The sequence below is a fragment of the Homo sapiens genome, chromosome 11 (genome assembly GCF_000001405.40).
Source record: "Homo sapiens chromosome 11, GRCh38.p14 Primary Assembly".
In the NCBI taxonomy this organism is placed as follows: domain Eukaryota; kingdom Metazoa; phylum Chordata; class Mammalia; order Primates; family Hominidae; genus Homo; species Homo sapiens.
The window spans coordinates 68933177-68947499 of NC_000011.10; the positions used below are offsets into that span (position 1 = coordinate 68933177).

The 14323-nt window shown below is 55.1% G+C and overlaps 1 protein-coding gene across 6 annotated transcripts in view, besides 2 other annotated features; it reads left to right on the forward strand.

Annotated features, from left to right (window-relative positions):
* Positions 1-7425, forward strand: part of IGHMBP2 (immunoglobulin mu DNA binding protein 2) — a 36711-nt gene extending 29286 nt beyond the window's left edge. For 4 of the 6 annotated variants that reach the window (NM_002180.3, XM_017017670.3, XM_005273975.4 and 1 more), the window contains 7 exons: positions 123-305; positions 619-737; positions 1288-1382; positions 2123-2246; positions 3061-3915; positions 5006-5178; positions 6358-7425. In NM_002180.3, the coding sequence (NP_002171.2) occupies positions 123-305; positions 619-737; positions 1288-1382; positions 2123-2246; positions 3061-3915; positions 5006-5178; positions 6358-6555 (1747 nt within the window). In that variant the 3' untranslated portion in view covers positions 6556-7425. Of the gene's footprint in view, positions 1-122; positions 306-618; positions 738-1287; positions 1383-2122; positions 2247-3060; positions 3916-5005; positions 5179-5481; positions 5651-6357 lie in introns of those variants that run through there. The other 2 variants (XM_047426881.1, XM_017017671.3) reach the window with 2 other exon arrangements.
* Positions 835-2034: an enhancer, noted in NCBI's record as "CDK7 strongly-dependent group 2 enhancer chr11:68701479-68702678 (GRCh37/hg19 assembly coordinates)". NCBI's record gives its function as "activates an origin of replication core promoter dependent on BRD2, BRD4, P300/CBP, MED14 and CDK7 cofactors, with strong dependence on CDK7, by STARR-seq in HCT116 cells {active_cell/tissue: HCT116}" and the evidence as "EXISTENCE:reporter gene assay evidence [ECO:0000049][PMID:35650434]".
* Positions 13460-14323: an enhancer, noted in NCBI's record as "H3K27ac-H3K4me1 hESC enhancer chr11:68714105-68714968 (GRCh37/hg19 assembly coordinates)". NCBI's record gives its function as "activates a minimal SCP1, AML or CMV promoter by ChIP-STARR-seq in naive and primed H9 embryonic stem cells {active_cell/tissue: H9 hESC(naive and primed)}" and the evidence as "EXISTENCE:reporter gene assay evidence [ECO:0000049][PMID:30033119]".

Here is a 14323-nt window from a genome sequence, read left to right on the forward strand (position 1 = left end):
GGTCAGAATCCAGGGGAGAGTTGGGTCCTGAGGTTTGGGGCCTGTCCTCCTCACTTGCTGTGGTTCACACCTGGACTCTGGGGCTCAGGCCTGCCTTCCCCCTTTCTCCCTCCTGGGCGCAGGGCTGCGCTGGCAGGACTGTCACTCAGCCTGATGGAACGCCTGGCTGAGGAGTACGGCGCGAGGGTGGTGCGGACACTGACGGTGCAGTACCGCATGCACCAGGCTATCATGCGCTGGGCCTCAGACACCATGTACCTTGGGCAGCTCACAGCCCACTCTTCCGTGGCAAGGCACCTCCTGAGGTGAGTAGCTCGGCACCACCCGCCGCCCCATCCTTCTGCCCTGGCTAATCCTCTGCGTCACCTGTTTCTACGCAGCAAGCTAAAGTGAAGCTTTCTGCATGAAAGTCGACTCTGAGGCTAGCTTTTTGGAAGAGAGGGTGGCCTTGCCCTGGAGAGCTGGGTCAGGCCCGCTCCCTCCCTTCTGATGTCCTGATGTGCTCATTGTCCTCCCCTACCTAAGCCTTTTCCTCGTGGGAGGGGTCGGTTCTGTTGGGTGGGGCCTCAGTGCTGCACTGTGGCCCCCTGATGTGCTCCCTCTCTGCCTGTGTGCCAGGGACCTCCCAGGTGTGGCTGCCACAGAAGAGACGGGTGTGCCCCTGCTCTTGGTGGACACCGCCGGCTGCGGGCTGTTTGAGCTGGAGGAGGAGGACGAACAGTCGAAAGGGAACCCTGGTGAGCTTGCTTGCAGATGGCCAGCTTTTTTGTTTAAACATACCTCCAGCTCTTTAAAAATAAAAGGCACTTTAATTGCCTAATTCCGGGAGGAGCTGAGAGCAGTTGTTGATGGCCGTGAAAAAACGGAGCCCCACACTGCAAGAGGCTGAGCAGCATCGTTTTCTCCAGGGTGAGCAGACCGCTCCTGGGTGAGATGGGCCTGGCAGCATTTTACGGCCTTCTCCTGAATGGTGGCCCAGCTCTGCCTGGCTGGTCTGGTGATGGGAACTGTCATTGCTCAGCTGACACCACCATCTCCCCAGTTCCACGTTGAACAGGATGCACGGCCATAGGAGTCAAAAGGCCTTCATTGCTGATGTGAAATTCAAGTTAGCTGGGCATGGCTGGTCCTGGGGCCCTGGGACACAGATGATTAGCTCCCAGGAAGCCACCTGAGTGGAGGATCAGCTGGCCATGATAGACAGAAACGTGCCCGAAACACGTGTTGGTGGTGGATGCCCACTTGGGGCGACCTTGTGCTGCTCACCCGTTCTTTCTTTCCCTCCAGGCGAAGTCCGCCTCGTCAGTTTGCACATCCAGGCTCTGGTGGACGCTGGTGTTCCAGCCCGTGACATTGCTGTGGTCTCGCCATACAACCTCCAGGTACGAGGGTTTCCTTTTGTCCCTCTACAGAGCAGCTGGGGCTCACACAACCTAGAGGGTGAAAGAAAAAGGGTGATTTGTTGGCTGTGGTGACCGAAAAGTTCAGGGGTAGGGCTGACCTTATTGTGACTGGATCCAGGGCCCAAATGATGTCGTCAGGGGCCCCTCTGCGTGTTCGTCTGCCCGCCCCACCTTGCCCCGCCCTGCCCGGTGCCCCAGCCTTCTGCACTGGCTTGTGTTCTGGCCAGATTTGCTGGGTGACCCCGGCAGCCTCAGGCTGACACAGTCCTTCCACGGGCAGCCCTGGCGGAACAGCCTGTCCTTTTCTGGCATTTCCCACAGGAGTCTCAGCCTTGAGCCTTGCTGGTCTGGCTCAGGTCGTGTTCCCATGCGTATCTCATTTGGTAGGAAAAATGTACCTTCTGGAGTATCGGGAGGATCTGTGGAAGTGGCCATCATACCTTCCTGGTGTGCAGGCATCACACATAGGGCTGTCTGAGGCTGGCGGCTGTCATAAGCCAAAAGAAATGATCAAATGCCAGGGACAGGGTGTGGTATTGGCGTGCATGCGTGCCCGTGAGGAGGGCGAACGGGAAGCCTTTCCCCATGGGGCTCCTGCAGGCTCCGCTTCCCAGGTCCTGGCTGTTTCACAGCGTGAGGCCCTCTGCTGAGCTGAAGGGCAGGGTCTTGCTGCGCTGGCATGGGTGGGTGAGGAAACCACAGCCCGGCTGGTGTTTCAGGTGGACCTGCTCAGACAGAGCCTTGTGCACAGGCACCCTGAGCTTGAAATCAAGTCTGTCGATGGCTTCCAAGGCCGAGAGAAGGAGGCCGTGATACTGTCCTTCGTCAGATCCAACAGGAAAGGTACGGAGCCCTCGCCAGAGTCCTTTGGGGACAGCACAGAAGTGAATTTATTGATTGAGGGGCATATTGGGTGTCTGCTGGGTGCCACACTGGTTTCTGGCAGTGTGCTCATGGTGCACCTTCTGTCCTTAGTAAGTTCACGTCAGGCAAAGCACAGGCAAGAGAGTCTGCAGAGGCTCAGAGGCGTGAGTGTGCTGTCAGGGAGCAGGTGGCTGGGGTGGCAGCTGGGGGCGCAGGGTGGGCTGGGAATGATCAGGACATCCTGCCGAGGAGGTGAAGCCCCCTGCAGCCCAGAGCTGGCCTTTAGCCTCCATGCACGGAGCCGCGGGGTGTGGTGGTCGTGGCTGTGGTTTCTGTGCTGCTGTGGTGTGTGGGCTTTCCCATTTGGGATGAGCATTGTTCCCAGAAGCAGGTTTAGTGAACGGGCTTTGTGAGACATTCTCAGAAGGCAGAAAGCAGGTGAGGCCTGGCTAGAAGCTATGGGGGAAAGAAGGGAAGGTCCTGGAAGGTTTCTTGTGCTTTCTCCCTGGTGCCAGCTGCAGCCACACCCCAGGCGGCCCCTGAGGCTGGGCTTAGAAGGAAAGGAGCGACAGAACCCAGTCGGGTTCCCCAGAGCCCCACTCAGTCAGCCGTGGCAGCCAGATGCCAGGGCAGGTGTGGCATCACGGTGCCACGCGTGGCCGGGCACCCGTGTGGATGGTGGGCCACGCGCAGGGGACTACACTTTTGGTGGTGGTTACTGATAAGGGCGTAGGAGCCTGACTGTGTTTCTTAGTCTGAAACCTGCTTCTCACTCCCCTCTGGCCTTTTGTAGGTGAAGTTGGTTTTCTTGCTGAGGACCGGAGGATCAACGTGGCTGTCACCCGTGCCCGACGCCACGTGGCGGTCATCTGTGACTCCCGTACTGTCAACAACCATGCATTTTTGAAGACCCTGGTGGAGTATTTCACACAGCATGGGGAAGTACGCACGGCCTTTGAGTATCTTGACGATATTGTCCCAGAAAACTATTCCCATGAGAACTCCCAGGGTTCCAGCCACGCTGCCACCAAGCCCCAGGGACCTGCTACGTCCACCAGGACCGGAAGCCAGCGGCAGGAGGGAGGCCAGGAGGCTGCAGCACCTGCCAGACAGGGCCGGAAGAAGCCGGCTGGGAAGTCTCTGGCCTCTGAAGCTCCATCTCAGCCCAGCCTCAACGGAGGCAGCCCAGAGGGAGTGGAGAGCCAAGATGGCGTGGACCACTTCCGGGCCATGATAGTGGAGTTCATGGCCAGCAAGAAGATGCAGTTGGAGTTTCCTCCTTCCCTCAATTCCCACGACAGGCTGCGGGTCCACCAAATAGCCGAGGAGCACGGGCTGAGGCACGACAGTTCCGGGGAAGGGAAGAGGAGGTTCATCACTGTGAGCAAGAGGGCCCCGCGACCCCGAGCAGCCCTGGGACCCCCAGCAGGGACCGGTGGCCCAGCCCCTCTCCAGCCAGTGCCCCCTACCCCTGCGCAGACAGAGCAGCCTCCCAGGGAGCAGCGTGGCCCAGACCAGCCTGATCTGAGGACGCTGCACCTGGAGAGACTGCAGAGGGTCAGGAGCGCGCAGGGGCAGCCCGCCAGCAAGGAGCAGCAGGCCTCAGGGCAGCAGAAACTTCCAGAAAAGAAAAAGAAAAAAGCCAAAGGTAAGTCAACTAATAAGAACTTGGGGCAGTGTCCCCTCACTGGGGTGCTGGCCCCACTTGGAGCCCACCTGCCACCATCAACAGAAGGAAGGGCTTCCTCCTGGTGGCACCGTGCCCGTGTCATTTTAGCTTTATTTTCAGTCATGCCACTCCCAGCTCCGTCTGGGCTCCCCTAGGTCGGTGATCAGGTCACGGGCACCTTCTTTTCCCAGACCCTGTGTGGGACTCGGCAAGTAGGCAGCACTCAGAGCATGTCTGCAGCAGCAGGAGGGGCCTGGAAGAGCAAACATGGATGGCTCCCTGGAGCCCCTCGGGAATGGAGCGATCACGGGGTCCCATGCAACATGTGGCCCTGGAGGGTGGAGGTCTTGCACAGCGAAAGGGTGCACTCTGCCTGGAAGTTGTCCTGGGCAAAATGCTCAGAACCACAGGGGCTGGCTGAGCGCAAAACCATTCTTGCCCTTGGGCCATGTGGAGTCCCTGGGTGGGCTCTGCCCCGTTTGCCACATCCTGCATTGTGCCCACCCCGCAGGAGCTGGCTAGGCGTGCAGTGGGAGTTGGCCAGGCATACGCTGGCAGAGCGTGTAGCGGTCTTGGGGAACTCCTGCTACTGCCATTTTCCTCAGCAAGAGCATGCAGGAGTTCCAGCTTGCATTGATTCATTGAATTCCTGAAGCGAAGCTACACCAGCACATGGGTGGCTTTGAAAGGGGCCTCCCAGAGCCTGGGGCTCCAGAGGAATTCACTCCCCAAACCTTTGTTGAGCAGCTACTGTATGCCACGCTTTGTGCTAGAGGACAGGACTGATGCCACCCCTGCCCCCAGGCACTGACAGGGTAGCAGAGGGAAGACACATGAGCTGCTTTTTAATTTTTTTTAGAATTAATAGAGACGGGGTCTCACTCTGTCACTATGTTGCCCAGGCTAGTTTTGAACTCCTGGCCGCAAGCAGTCCTCCTACCTCAGCCTCCCAAAATGCTGGGATTACAGGTGTGAGCCACCGTGCTTAGCCATGAATTGATTTTAAAACCTTAAATGAGGGGCCAGGTGTTGTCTTTCCGTTTGCCTGAGTGACGCGGGTCTTCTCCAGGACATCCGGCCACAGATCTGCCCACGGAGGAGGACTTTGAGGCCCTGGTTTCTGCCGCCGTTAAGGCTGATAACACCTGCGGCTTTGCCAAGTGCACAGCCGGCGTCACAACCCTGGGCCAGTTCTGCCAGCTCTGCAGCCGCCGCTACTGCCTCAGCCACCACCTGCCCGAGGTATGTCGGCCTCCCCTCCTGCGATCAAACAGTGGGGAGGGGTGGTGGGTTCCGTCTCCAGGAAGCAGACCCTGGGCAGACTTGTTCCAGTCGGAACAGTTAGCTCCTTACAATCTCCAGATACCTTCAGAAACAGAAATCAGACACTGACTCATGATCGGTTTTCAGCACATCAGGGCACAAGCAAACAAAATGCCTTATTTGCTGAGCTGCAGCCACGTTAGTGGGAATTCTGGGCAGAGGGAATTTTGTCCCAGTGTCCTTGGGTTCTGTCAGTGGCCTAATCTGGTCTGTTTGGCATAGGGGAGGTGGGAGGCAGAGCCTCCAGCCCGTCATCTGAGCTGGCCATGGCCCGGCTGCTGTGTCATTCATTCCTTGAGCCGGGGTTGATGAGAACCCCCTGGGCCAGGTGTGGGCGCCTGTGGAAAGCCGAGGTCTGAACCAGCCTTGTCTCTACCCTGGAGGATGCTGGGCCTGGTGGGGGACCTGGGTAAGAGACCAGCATACAGTACCAGGTGTTGAGTGCTCTGAGGAAGAAAACCCAGGGCCAGGGTGGCAGCAGGGTCACCCACCCAGATGCAGCAGTCAGGGTGGGCTTCCTGGAGGAAGTAACACTGGAGCTGAGACCTGTGGGACAGAAGGTGGGAGCTGGGCTGGGAAGGACAGGGCCGATGGCGGGTGGGCAGGCAGGCTATCCACCCTTAGAACATGCATAAAGCCCCAGGCCCAGTCAGAGAGTTGGGAGTAGAGTGTGAGGCAGATGGCTAGAGTTGAGGCTGGGCATGTCCTGGCGAGCTGCCTGGAGGAGTCAGGCCTGATCTGAAGGCAGTGGGGTACCCTCTAGGGTGTCAGCAGGGCTGTGATGTCACCAGTCTTGGCTGCAGTGTGGATTAGGTAGGCGGAGGCTGGGAGGCAGTGGGAAGTGGCCGCAGGGACCGTGTGGTCAGTCAGGGTGGTGCCATTTCCTGTGTGCACACTCGGGGGCTCCCGCCACACCAGGGTGCAGACCACCCCGCCGCTCTCCCGCCAGGCAGCCTGCAGGGTGAAGGACTGACATGGCGGGAGGAGTGGCCTTCTCTGTTGGGGCGCCTGTGGCCCCCCAGCTCTTTGATAGGCAGAGCTGCAGGATCTGCCTCCTTGCCCCTGTGAGCCCAGCAGTGATTCTTGTGTCCTCCCCAGATCCATGGCTGCGGTGAGAGGGCTCGCGCCCATGCCCGGCAGAGAATCAGCCGGGAAGGGGTCCTCTATGCCGGCAGCGGGACCAAGAACGGATCCCTGGACCCAGCCAAGAGGGCCCAGCTGCAGAGGAGGCTGGATAAGAAGCTGAGTGAGCTCAGCAACCAGAGGACCAGCCGGAGGAAGGAGAGGGGGACGTGACCGGCCGCATCCTTGCACGCCCCGCGGAGCTCTCTCCATGGTAGCCCAGGGCGCTGGCAGACCATGCTCCGCCTCCACCAGGGCCACAGAGGAGCGGAGGGGCCTATGGGGGAGGAGCGGAGGGCCCTGTTGGGGAAGGTTGGGTTTTTGGACCCCAGGGATAAGCTTTTCCGATGTCACAATGTGGAGGAAAGCACCTGGGGGACAACAGTGCTCGTGCAGGTGGGGCTTGGGAAATGCACGTCCCTTCCCCTTACTCCCCGCCAAAACCCACATCCCAGCCTCTGGATCCTGGGGAAGGTTCCAGTCCCTGGAGAATACCCAGGGCCTCAAACTTGAAGTCACTCCTCCAATGTCTGGGACTTGCCAGCTCAGCCCGTTAGGATGAGGGTGCTGAGAGGAAACAGGAAACAAGACTGCGAATGGCGCTCAGGCAGGGAGCAGGGAGTGGCGTTTGGCTTGCACGTTCCCATGTGGCCAGATGCTGGGGCCACTTTCCTTCTGTCTGCTGGTGACTGCAGTGTTCCCCCTCCTCCTCACCACGGGGCTCCTGTGAGTCTGGGGGGCACCTCTTTCTGGCCTGTGCACCTCTCTCTGGCTTATAAAGGTGCCTGGCCTGTGCCAGCCCCTCCTTGTTGCGCCTCACCGTGGGGACCAGGTGAGCCGGCTCTCCCACGTGGTTGTCCCGGGAAAGCTGCCCCACAGCCTCAGCATCTTCAGCACTTACCGATCCAGAGCCTCCCGGCCTTCTCCGGTGTCCTGTACCAACTCTTCTATTTAAGAGAACCTCAGATGATGTACCTGAGCCTCAGGGTTTTGTTTCAGAGGGATATAAATTATTTAAAAATTAAATGAAAACGTTGCACACTGCCCCAGTGTGTCTGCTGCGGGTCTAAGGGGCGCGCCCTTTGCCTGTTCTGCTCAGCTGCTGTGCCCTCCCCGCCGCGTCTCTCAAGCCCCCTCTCCTTCTGACCTCTCTGCGGCAGACTCTCCCGGTGCAGGCTCCTCTCTCCTTAAATCCCATTCATGTCCTTTTATGTCCCCGATGGTTCTGAGTGAGGTTGAGCTTCCCTGACCTGCACCTAGGGTGGCTGTCCCCCAGAGGCCATTTACGCAGCGCATTCGGCTAATGTGTCCTCAGGCCAGGCCTGCACGCTTTGACTGCCGTGTTCTTGCTGGTCCTGGGCGACTCTCCCTTCCTACCCGGACTGACGCCCCACCCTGGGCCACTAGAGCCCCTCCTCCTCCCCCTGTCCTGTCCTTGTCTGTTCCCGTCAAGTGGCTTTTGGACTGAATTGTTTGGGAAGGGGACCAGGACTCTACTGCATTTTGTGTCAAGTGCGGCAGAGTTAATCTGGTTGCTTCCATAAGTGCTGAGCACCATGCACAGAAGGCTGCAGTTCTCATGCTCTTTGAGGACCCGTGGCTGTGGGAGGCATTTGTGTAATGATGCTCTTGGGGGATGAGGGCACCATTGGAAGCATCTCCCGGTTGACACAGCACACAGGGACAGGTGTTCTTCCTGCAGGGGCGGGGGCGGGGGTGCCTGCTTAAGCTCCCCAACTTCCCAGAATCCAAACAGCTGATAAGAGTCCTGCCCTGGGGTTGACACGGATGCTGAAAGATGTTGGCTCTTGGGTGGGAGACAGCCGACAGCCACACTCCCTGCCTCCTAGGTAGCCTGTCTGCAGGAGAGAAGGAGGCCAAAGAGAAACAGACCCAAAAATGGGGGTGGGAGAGTGACCTGATGACACTGTTTGAGCACCTGGATGTAGCCATGCCTGACCTCCACCCCATTCTTCCTGGTGTCCTGAGCTAGTAAATCCCCTTTTTTAGCTGAAGAAGTCTGCCTTGGGTTTTTGTCACTTGCTGCCAAAGAATCTTTGCTGACCCAGTCATGCCCACATCTGTTTATCTTATTGGGCATACCCCTCCCAGCATGGAGGCAGTATGGAATTAGTGTCGCCCCACTCATTAGAGAAGGCACGATTGGAATCCAAGCCCTGTACCTTTATCCAGGTGTTCTTCTGTGGGCCGTCCCACCAGGAGGAGCTTGAAGTAGAGGAAGGCAGCCAGCATCAGCGGCGGGCCGGGCGGGTGGGGGGTGGAAGCTTCTGGAATCGGAGGGACCTGAGTCTGAACGCCAGCCAGCACCACCGTCCACTGAGGTGTGGCCTCAGCAAGTCACCTCTCCTCTCTGAGCCTGTTTGTCATCTATGAAGCAGGACGGGAACAGTTGCTGCCGCGCCAGCTGTGCTAAGTGGAAGACATGAAGTGCAGCATCATGTCCTTGCGGGACCTGGCTCCGGGTTTGTCGTCTCCCTGGCTGTGCCCCCCAGCCTCCTGCATGGAGCCTTCTCCCCTTCAGCACTGACCACCGCGGCCCTTGGTGATGCATTGTTAAAATGCCAGAACCCAAGGTTGCAACATAAAAAGTTTCCATTTCTCATCCCAGAGAGGCCTTGTTAGGAAAATATTTGTAGCTGGTTGTTTGAAAAGTACCCTACAGTTTGGCCTGGATAGGGTAACCCAAGAAAAGGAAAAAAATTTCCCAAGCCAAACGTCTCCCTGGCCAGCTGGAGTGTGGTCTTGCTGACAGTAGCTGCAGGCTGTAGCCCACCCGGGCCGGAACCGGGTGGAAGAGAGTAGAGGACTCCCTTCTAAGGAGAACTGCCCACCTCCACCCGTGCGGCTCCCCTGAGGTAGCCCTGCCATGTGCTCCTTTCCGGGGGTGCCGGGCAGGGCAGTGGGCACAGGCAGGAGCCCCTGCCAGCTCTGGGCTTTGCTCCTGAGTTTACTTGGGATGTGCTGCGTGCCTTGGGGCCTCAGTTTCCTCCTCTGTAACATGGGGAAGTAACAAGACCTGTCTCAGGGTAGCTGTGAAGATGAAATGATCAAACACACAAGGCCTTGGGTACGGCGCCTGGCTTCTAATAAATGTATTGCCCTCCTCCTCGTCATCTTGCAAAGCAGCAGTGGAGAGGAACGAGACGGCACATGCCGCTATAGAAGGGTTTCAGCAAATGGCCTTTCCTACCAGAGACAGAGGCAAGAGTGCCCAGGTCCCAAGGGCCCACCGGTCAGCTGCTGGTGGAAGTCGCAGGTCCCCCAGTGTGGGTCTGCCTGGCTTCCTTGCACCCAACACAGCTCGCCCCCGCCCTGTGCCGAGCAGGCCAAGGGTGGGCCAAGGGCGGGCCTAGGGCAGGCCTGCTCTGTTTACCTTGGTTTGTTTGGAGCTGCCCAGAGGGATCCCAGAGTGGGCTGAAGGGCACCACGCTGCTTTGGGAGGTTTTAGGCCCACGTTATAGCCCTGGCACTTAAAAGGAATTGTGGTCACCACTGGGAGCATAGCAAAAGCTGCAGCCTTATTTGGTCTGGAAACTTCTTTGCTTGCAGGAAAAGCAGAATGGGGAAGCAGGCTCTCGTGTGGGTGGGCAGATTGGGGCCAGTTCTTCATTACCCAGGGATATGAATTACTTTGCTACCTCACTTGGCTCTGGTTTTGGCTTCTGGCCTTCTCCACTGAAGCTGCAGCTCACAATCTCCCCCAGCCCTCAGCTGCCAATGAGCTGTTCTGTTGTGCAGCTTTATTGAGGTGTAATTGTCATGCCATAGAATGCACTCGTTGTAAATATACGATTCAGATTCGATGATGTTAGTAAACATGGGGCTGGGCCACATACCCCTACCCGTCCCTACTGCTGGGTGCTGGTCTGCAGTTAATCTCTGCTCCTGCCCTCAGCCCCAGGCAGTCACCAGTCAGCTTTCTGTCCCTATAAATTTGCCTTTTCTGGAAACTTCATATAAATATAGACTGTCCCCAACTCCCCGTGGTTTTGACGTAACGATTTTTTGACTTTACAATGGTGCAAAGGCTTGTATGCATTCAGTAGAAACCACCATTCTGTGTTCATGTTCAGTACAGTATTCAGTAAATGACATGAGAAATTCAACACTTTATATTATCAAATAGGTTCTGTGTTAGATAAGTGTGCTCAGTAAGCGTTCTGAGCATGTGTAGGGTAGGCTAGGCTAAGCTACGATGCCCAGGAGGTCAGGTGTATTGAAAGCATTTTCAATCTGCAATGTTTTCAATTCCCCATGGATTTGTGGGGAACATATTCCCATCATAAGTCGAGGAACATCCGTATCCAGCCCCGTGCATCTGCGTTCTTTTACTTCACCTGATGTTTTTGAGGTTTGCCCATGTGGTGGTGTGTATCAGTGTTTCAGTTCTTTTTATTGTCAAACAATGTCCCATTGTATGGATACACCCATTTAGTGTATCCACTCATCTATCGGATATTCAGATTGCTTCCACTTTTTGGCTGTTTTGACCCATGAGGCTGCTATGAATATTCATCGTTCAAGTCCTTCTGTGAAAACATGCATTCTCATTTTTCTTGGGTAGATTCTTAGAAGTGGAATTGCTGGGTCATAAGTTAGTTTATTCATTTAAGAAACTACCAGGCTTTTCCAGAGAGGTTACACCATTTTACATTCCTGCCAGCTATGTATGCGGGTTCTAGTTTTTCTGTTCTTGCCAACATTTGGTATTGTCTGATTATTATTACTATTACCACCATGTTGGTGGGTATATACTATGATCTCATTGTAGTTTTAATTTGCATTTTCTTAAAGACTAAGGAAGCTGAGCACCCTTTTCCTGCGCTTACGGGACATGTAGATATCTCCTTTGGTAAATTTTTCTTTTTTTTTTCTTTTTTTTTTTTTGAGACAGGTCTTAGTTTGTAGCTCAGGCTGGAGTGCAGTGGCACAAACAGGGCTCACTACAATCTCGACCTCCTGGGCTCAAGGGATCTCCAGGCTCAAGGGATCCTCCAACCTCAGCATCCCCGAGTAACTGGGACTACAGACGCGTGCCACCACACCTGGCTATTTTTTTTTTTTGTAAAGATGGGGTTTCGCCATGTTGCCCAGGCTGATCTCAAACTCCTGGGCTCAAGTGATTTGCCCACCTTGGCCTCCCAAAGTGCTGGGATTACGGGCGTGAGCCACCACACCTGGCCTCTTTTATTATTATTATTTTCATAGAGACAGGGTCTTGCTTTTTTGCCTGGGTTGGTCTTGAACTCCTGGGCTTAAGCCATCCTCCTGCCTCAGCCTCCCAAAATACTGGGAATATAGCTTTTGCTAAGCTCCCAGCAGTGACCACAATTCCTTTTAAGTGCCAGGGCTATAATGTGGGCCTAAAACCTCCCAAAGCAGCGTGGTGCCCTTCAGCCCACTCTGGGATCCCTCTGGGCAGCTCTGGGATTATAGGTGTGAGTTACCGTGCCTGGCCCTTTGGTGAAATTTCTGTTCAAATCTTTTGCTCATTTTTAAGATAAATTGAAGTGTCCTATTATTGAGATATAAGATATCTTTAGGCCGGGCATGGTGGCTCATGCCTGTAATCCCAGCACTTTGGGAGGCCAAGGCAGGCGGATCACGAGGTCAAGAGATCAAGACCATCCTGGCCAACATGGTGAAAGGCCATCTCTACTAAATATACAAAAATTAGCGGGGGCATGGTGGTGTGCACCTGTAATCCCAGCTACTCAGGAGGCTGAGGCAGGAGAATCGCTTGAACCTGGGAGGCAGAGGTTGTAGTGAGCCCAGATCATGCCACTGCACTCCAGCCTGGGCGACAGAGGGAGACCCTGTCTCAAAAAAACAAAACAAAACAAAACAAAACTTTATATAGCCTGGATAGAAGTCTTTTATCAGATGTATGATATGCAAATATTATCTCCCAGTCTTTGGATTCTTTCAACATTTCCTTAATATTGTCTTTGGAAGTGCAAAAGTTTTAATTTTTTAAAGTCCAGTTTATCGATTTTTTTTCTTTTATGGCTGTGCTTTCTGTGTCATGTCTAACATCTCTTTACCTAAATTGAGATCACAGAGGTTTTTCCTATGTTTTCTTTTAGACATTGTACAGATTTAGTTCTTCTGTTCAGGTCTGTGATCCATCTTGAGTTCATTTTCATGTATGGTATTGGTATAAGGCAAGGGCCAAAGGTTGGTTGGTTTGGTTGGTTGGTTGTTGCATGCGGATCTCCAGTTGTCTCAGCAATTGTTGAAAGACTCCTGTTTCTTCACGGAATTTCCTTGGCATCGTGTTAAATATTGTTTGAGCATAAATGGAGGGGTTCATTTCTGGGTTCTCAATTCTGTGCCATTCATCTGTCCATCCTTACGCTAATACCACAGGCTCCTCCCGTCCCCATCATGAGGGCAGCCTTCTGGTCATGGAGACATTGCAAGTTTACACTTAGAGGCACGGCCCCCACAACCCGTCTCTGACTCAGCGAAAATGGAAAGAGTTTTGAAAACATATAGCCACACTCAAGATAAACACCCCCGTGTTCCAGACCACAGAGAGAAACAGGGCTGGCTGGGTGCGATGGTTCACATCTGTAATCCCAGCACTTTGGGAGGCCGAGACGGGCGGATCACCTGAGGTCAGGAATTTGAGACCAGCCTGGCCCAACATGGTGAAACCCCGTCTCTACTAAAAATACAAAATTAGCCGGGCATGGTGGCACATGCCTGTAATCCCAGCTACTCGGGAGGCTGAGGCAGGAGAATTGCTTGAACCTGGGAGGCGGAGGTTGCAGTGAGCCCAGATCGCGCCACTGCACTCCAACCTGGGCGACAGAGCGAGACTCTGTCTCAAAAAAAAAAAAAGAAAGAAAAAGAAACAGCTGGCCGAGGAGGGGACGCTGTGGACCTGCTAGGGTCCTCGTCTGGTCAGGAGCAGGGGCGGCCTGGAGCCTTTTTTCCTGTGGGCCAAAGGAACAAAAACGGCCAGTTACGAAGTGGGATCTGAGCCAGGCTCTCACTATGAAACTAGATGGTAAGGCAGGCTTTCTGATTCATCAGAGGAAAAAAAAAAAAAGCTGTTCCAGTTACTATGGCTGCATAACACATCTACCCAAAACAGCCATTTATCACATTCATGGGTTCTGTGGCTCAAGAATTTGGACAGAGCACAGTGAACATGGAGATTCGAGAGGCCGGTGCTTGTCTCAAGGTGGCACCGACCCTGAGGTGAAATTTGGCCCTGGGGCTGCGGTAGGGTCAGGCCGACCTTGTCCCCTGCTGAGACCCCATGTTTGCTTAGCTCCCCAGCACCCACCCTGAGAGTCGCCCAGTGAGTCGCATGCCCCCGGCTCAGGCTGCCTTCTGGGCACCGGACTTGAGCGTCAGTCCCCAGCCTCGCAGCCCTAGGTGCCAGTCATGTGCTGATTATCTCCAGCTTTGATCCCTCCCCACACTCCAAATACCACTCACATTTCTCCTGGGATGTTTAGTAGGCAGGTGAGTGCAGCGCCTCCAGAATCCAGTGCCTGGTCTGCCCCGGGGAGTGGACTGAGCGCTTCCCTCCCCACAGGTAAATCCATATGCTAATCCCCAAACCTGCGAATGTGACCTTATCTGGGAAAAGAGTCTTCGCAGATGTAATTAAGTAAAGGTTCTTGAGAGGAGATCATCCCGGGTTACCTGGATGGTCCCTAAATCCAATGACAGGTGTCCGTCTAAGAGACATGTGAGAAGAGAAGGAGGCTGCCTGCAAACACAGGCAGAGGCTGGCGTGGTGCAGCCACAGGCCAAGGAACGTGGAGCCCCCAGAAGCTGGAAGTGGCAGGACAGGGCCGCCCCTCGAGATTTTATCTTGAAGAGAGAGAATCAGTTTCTGGGTTTGTTGTTGTTGCTGTTTTTTGAGATGGAGTTTTGCTCTTGTTGCCCAGGCTGGAGTGCA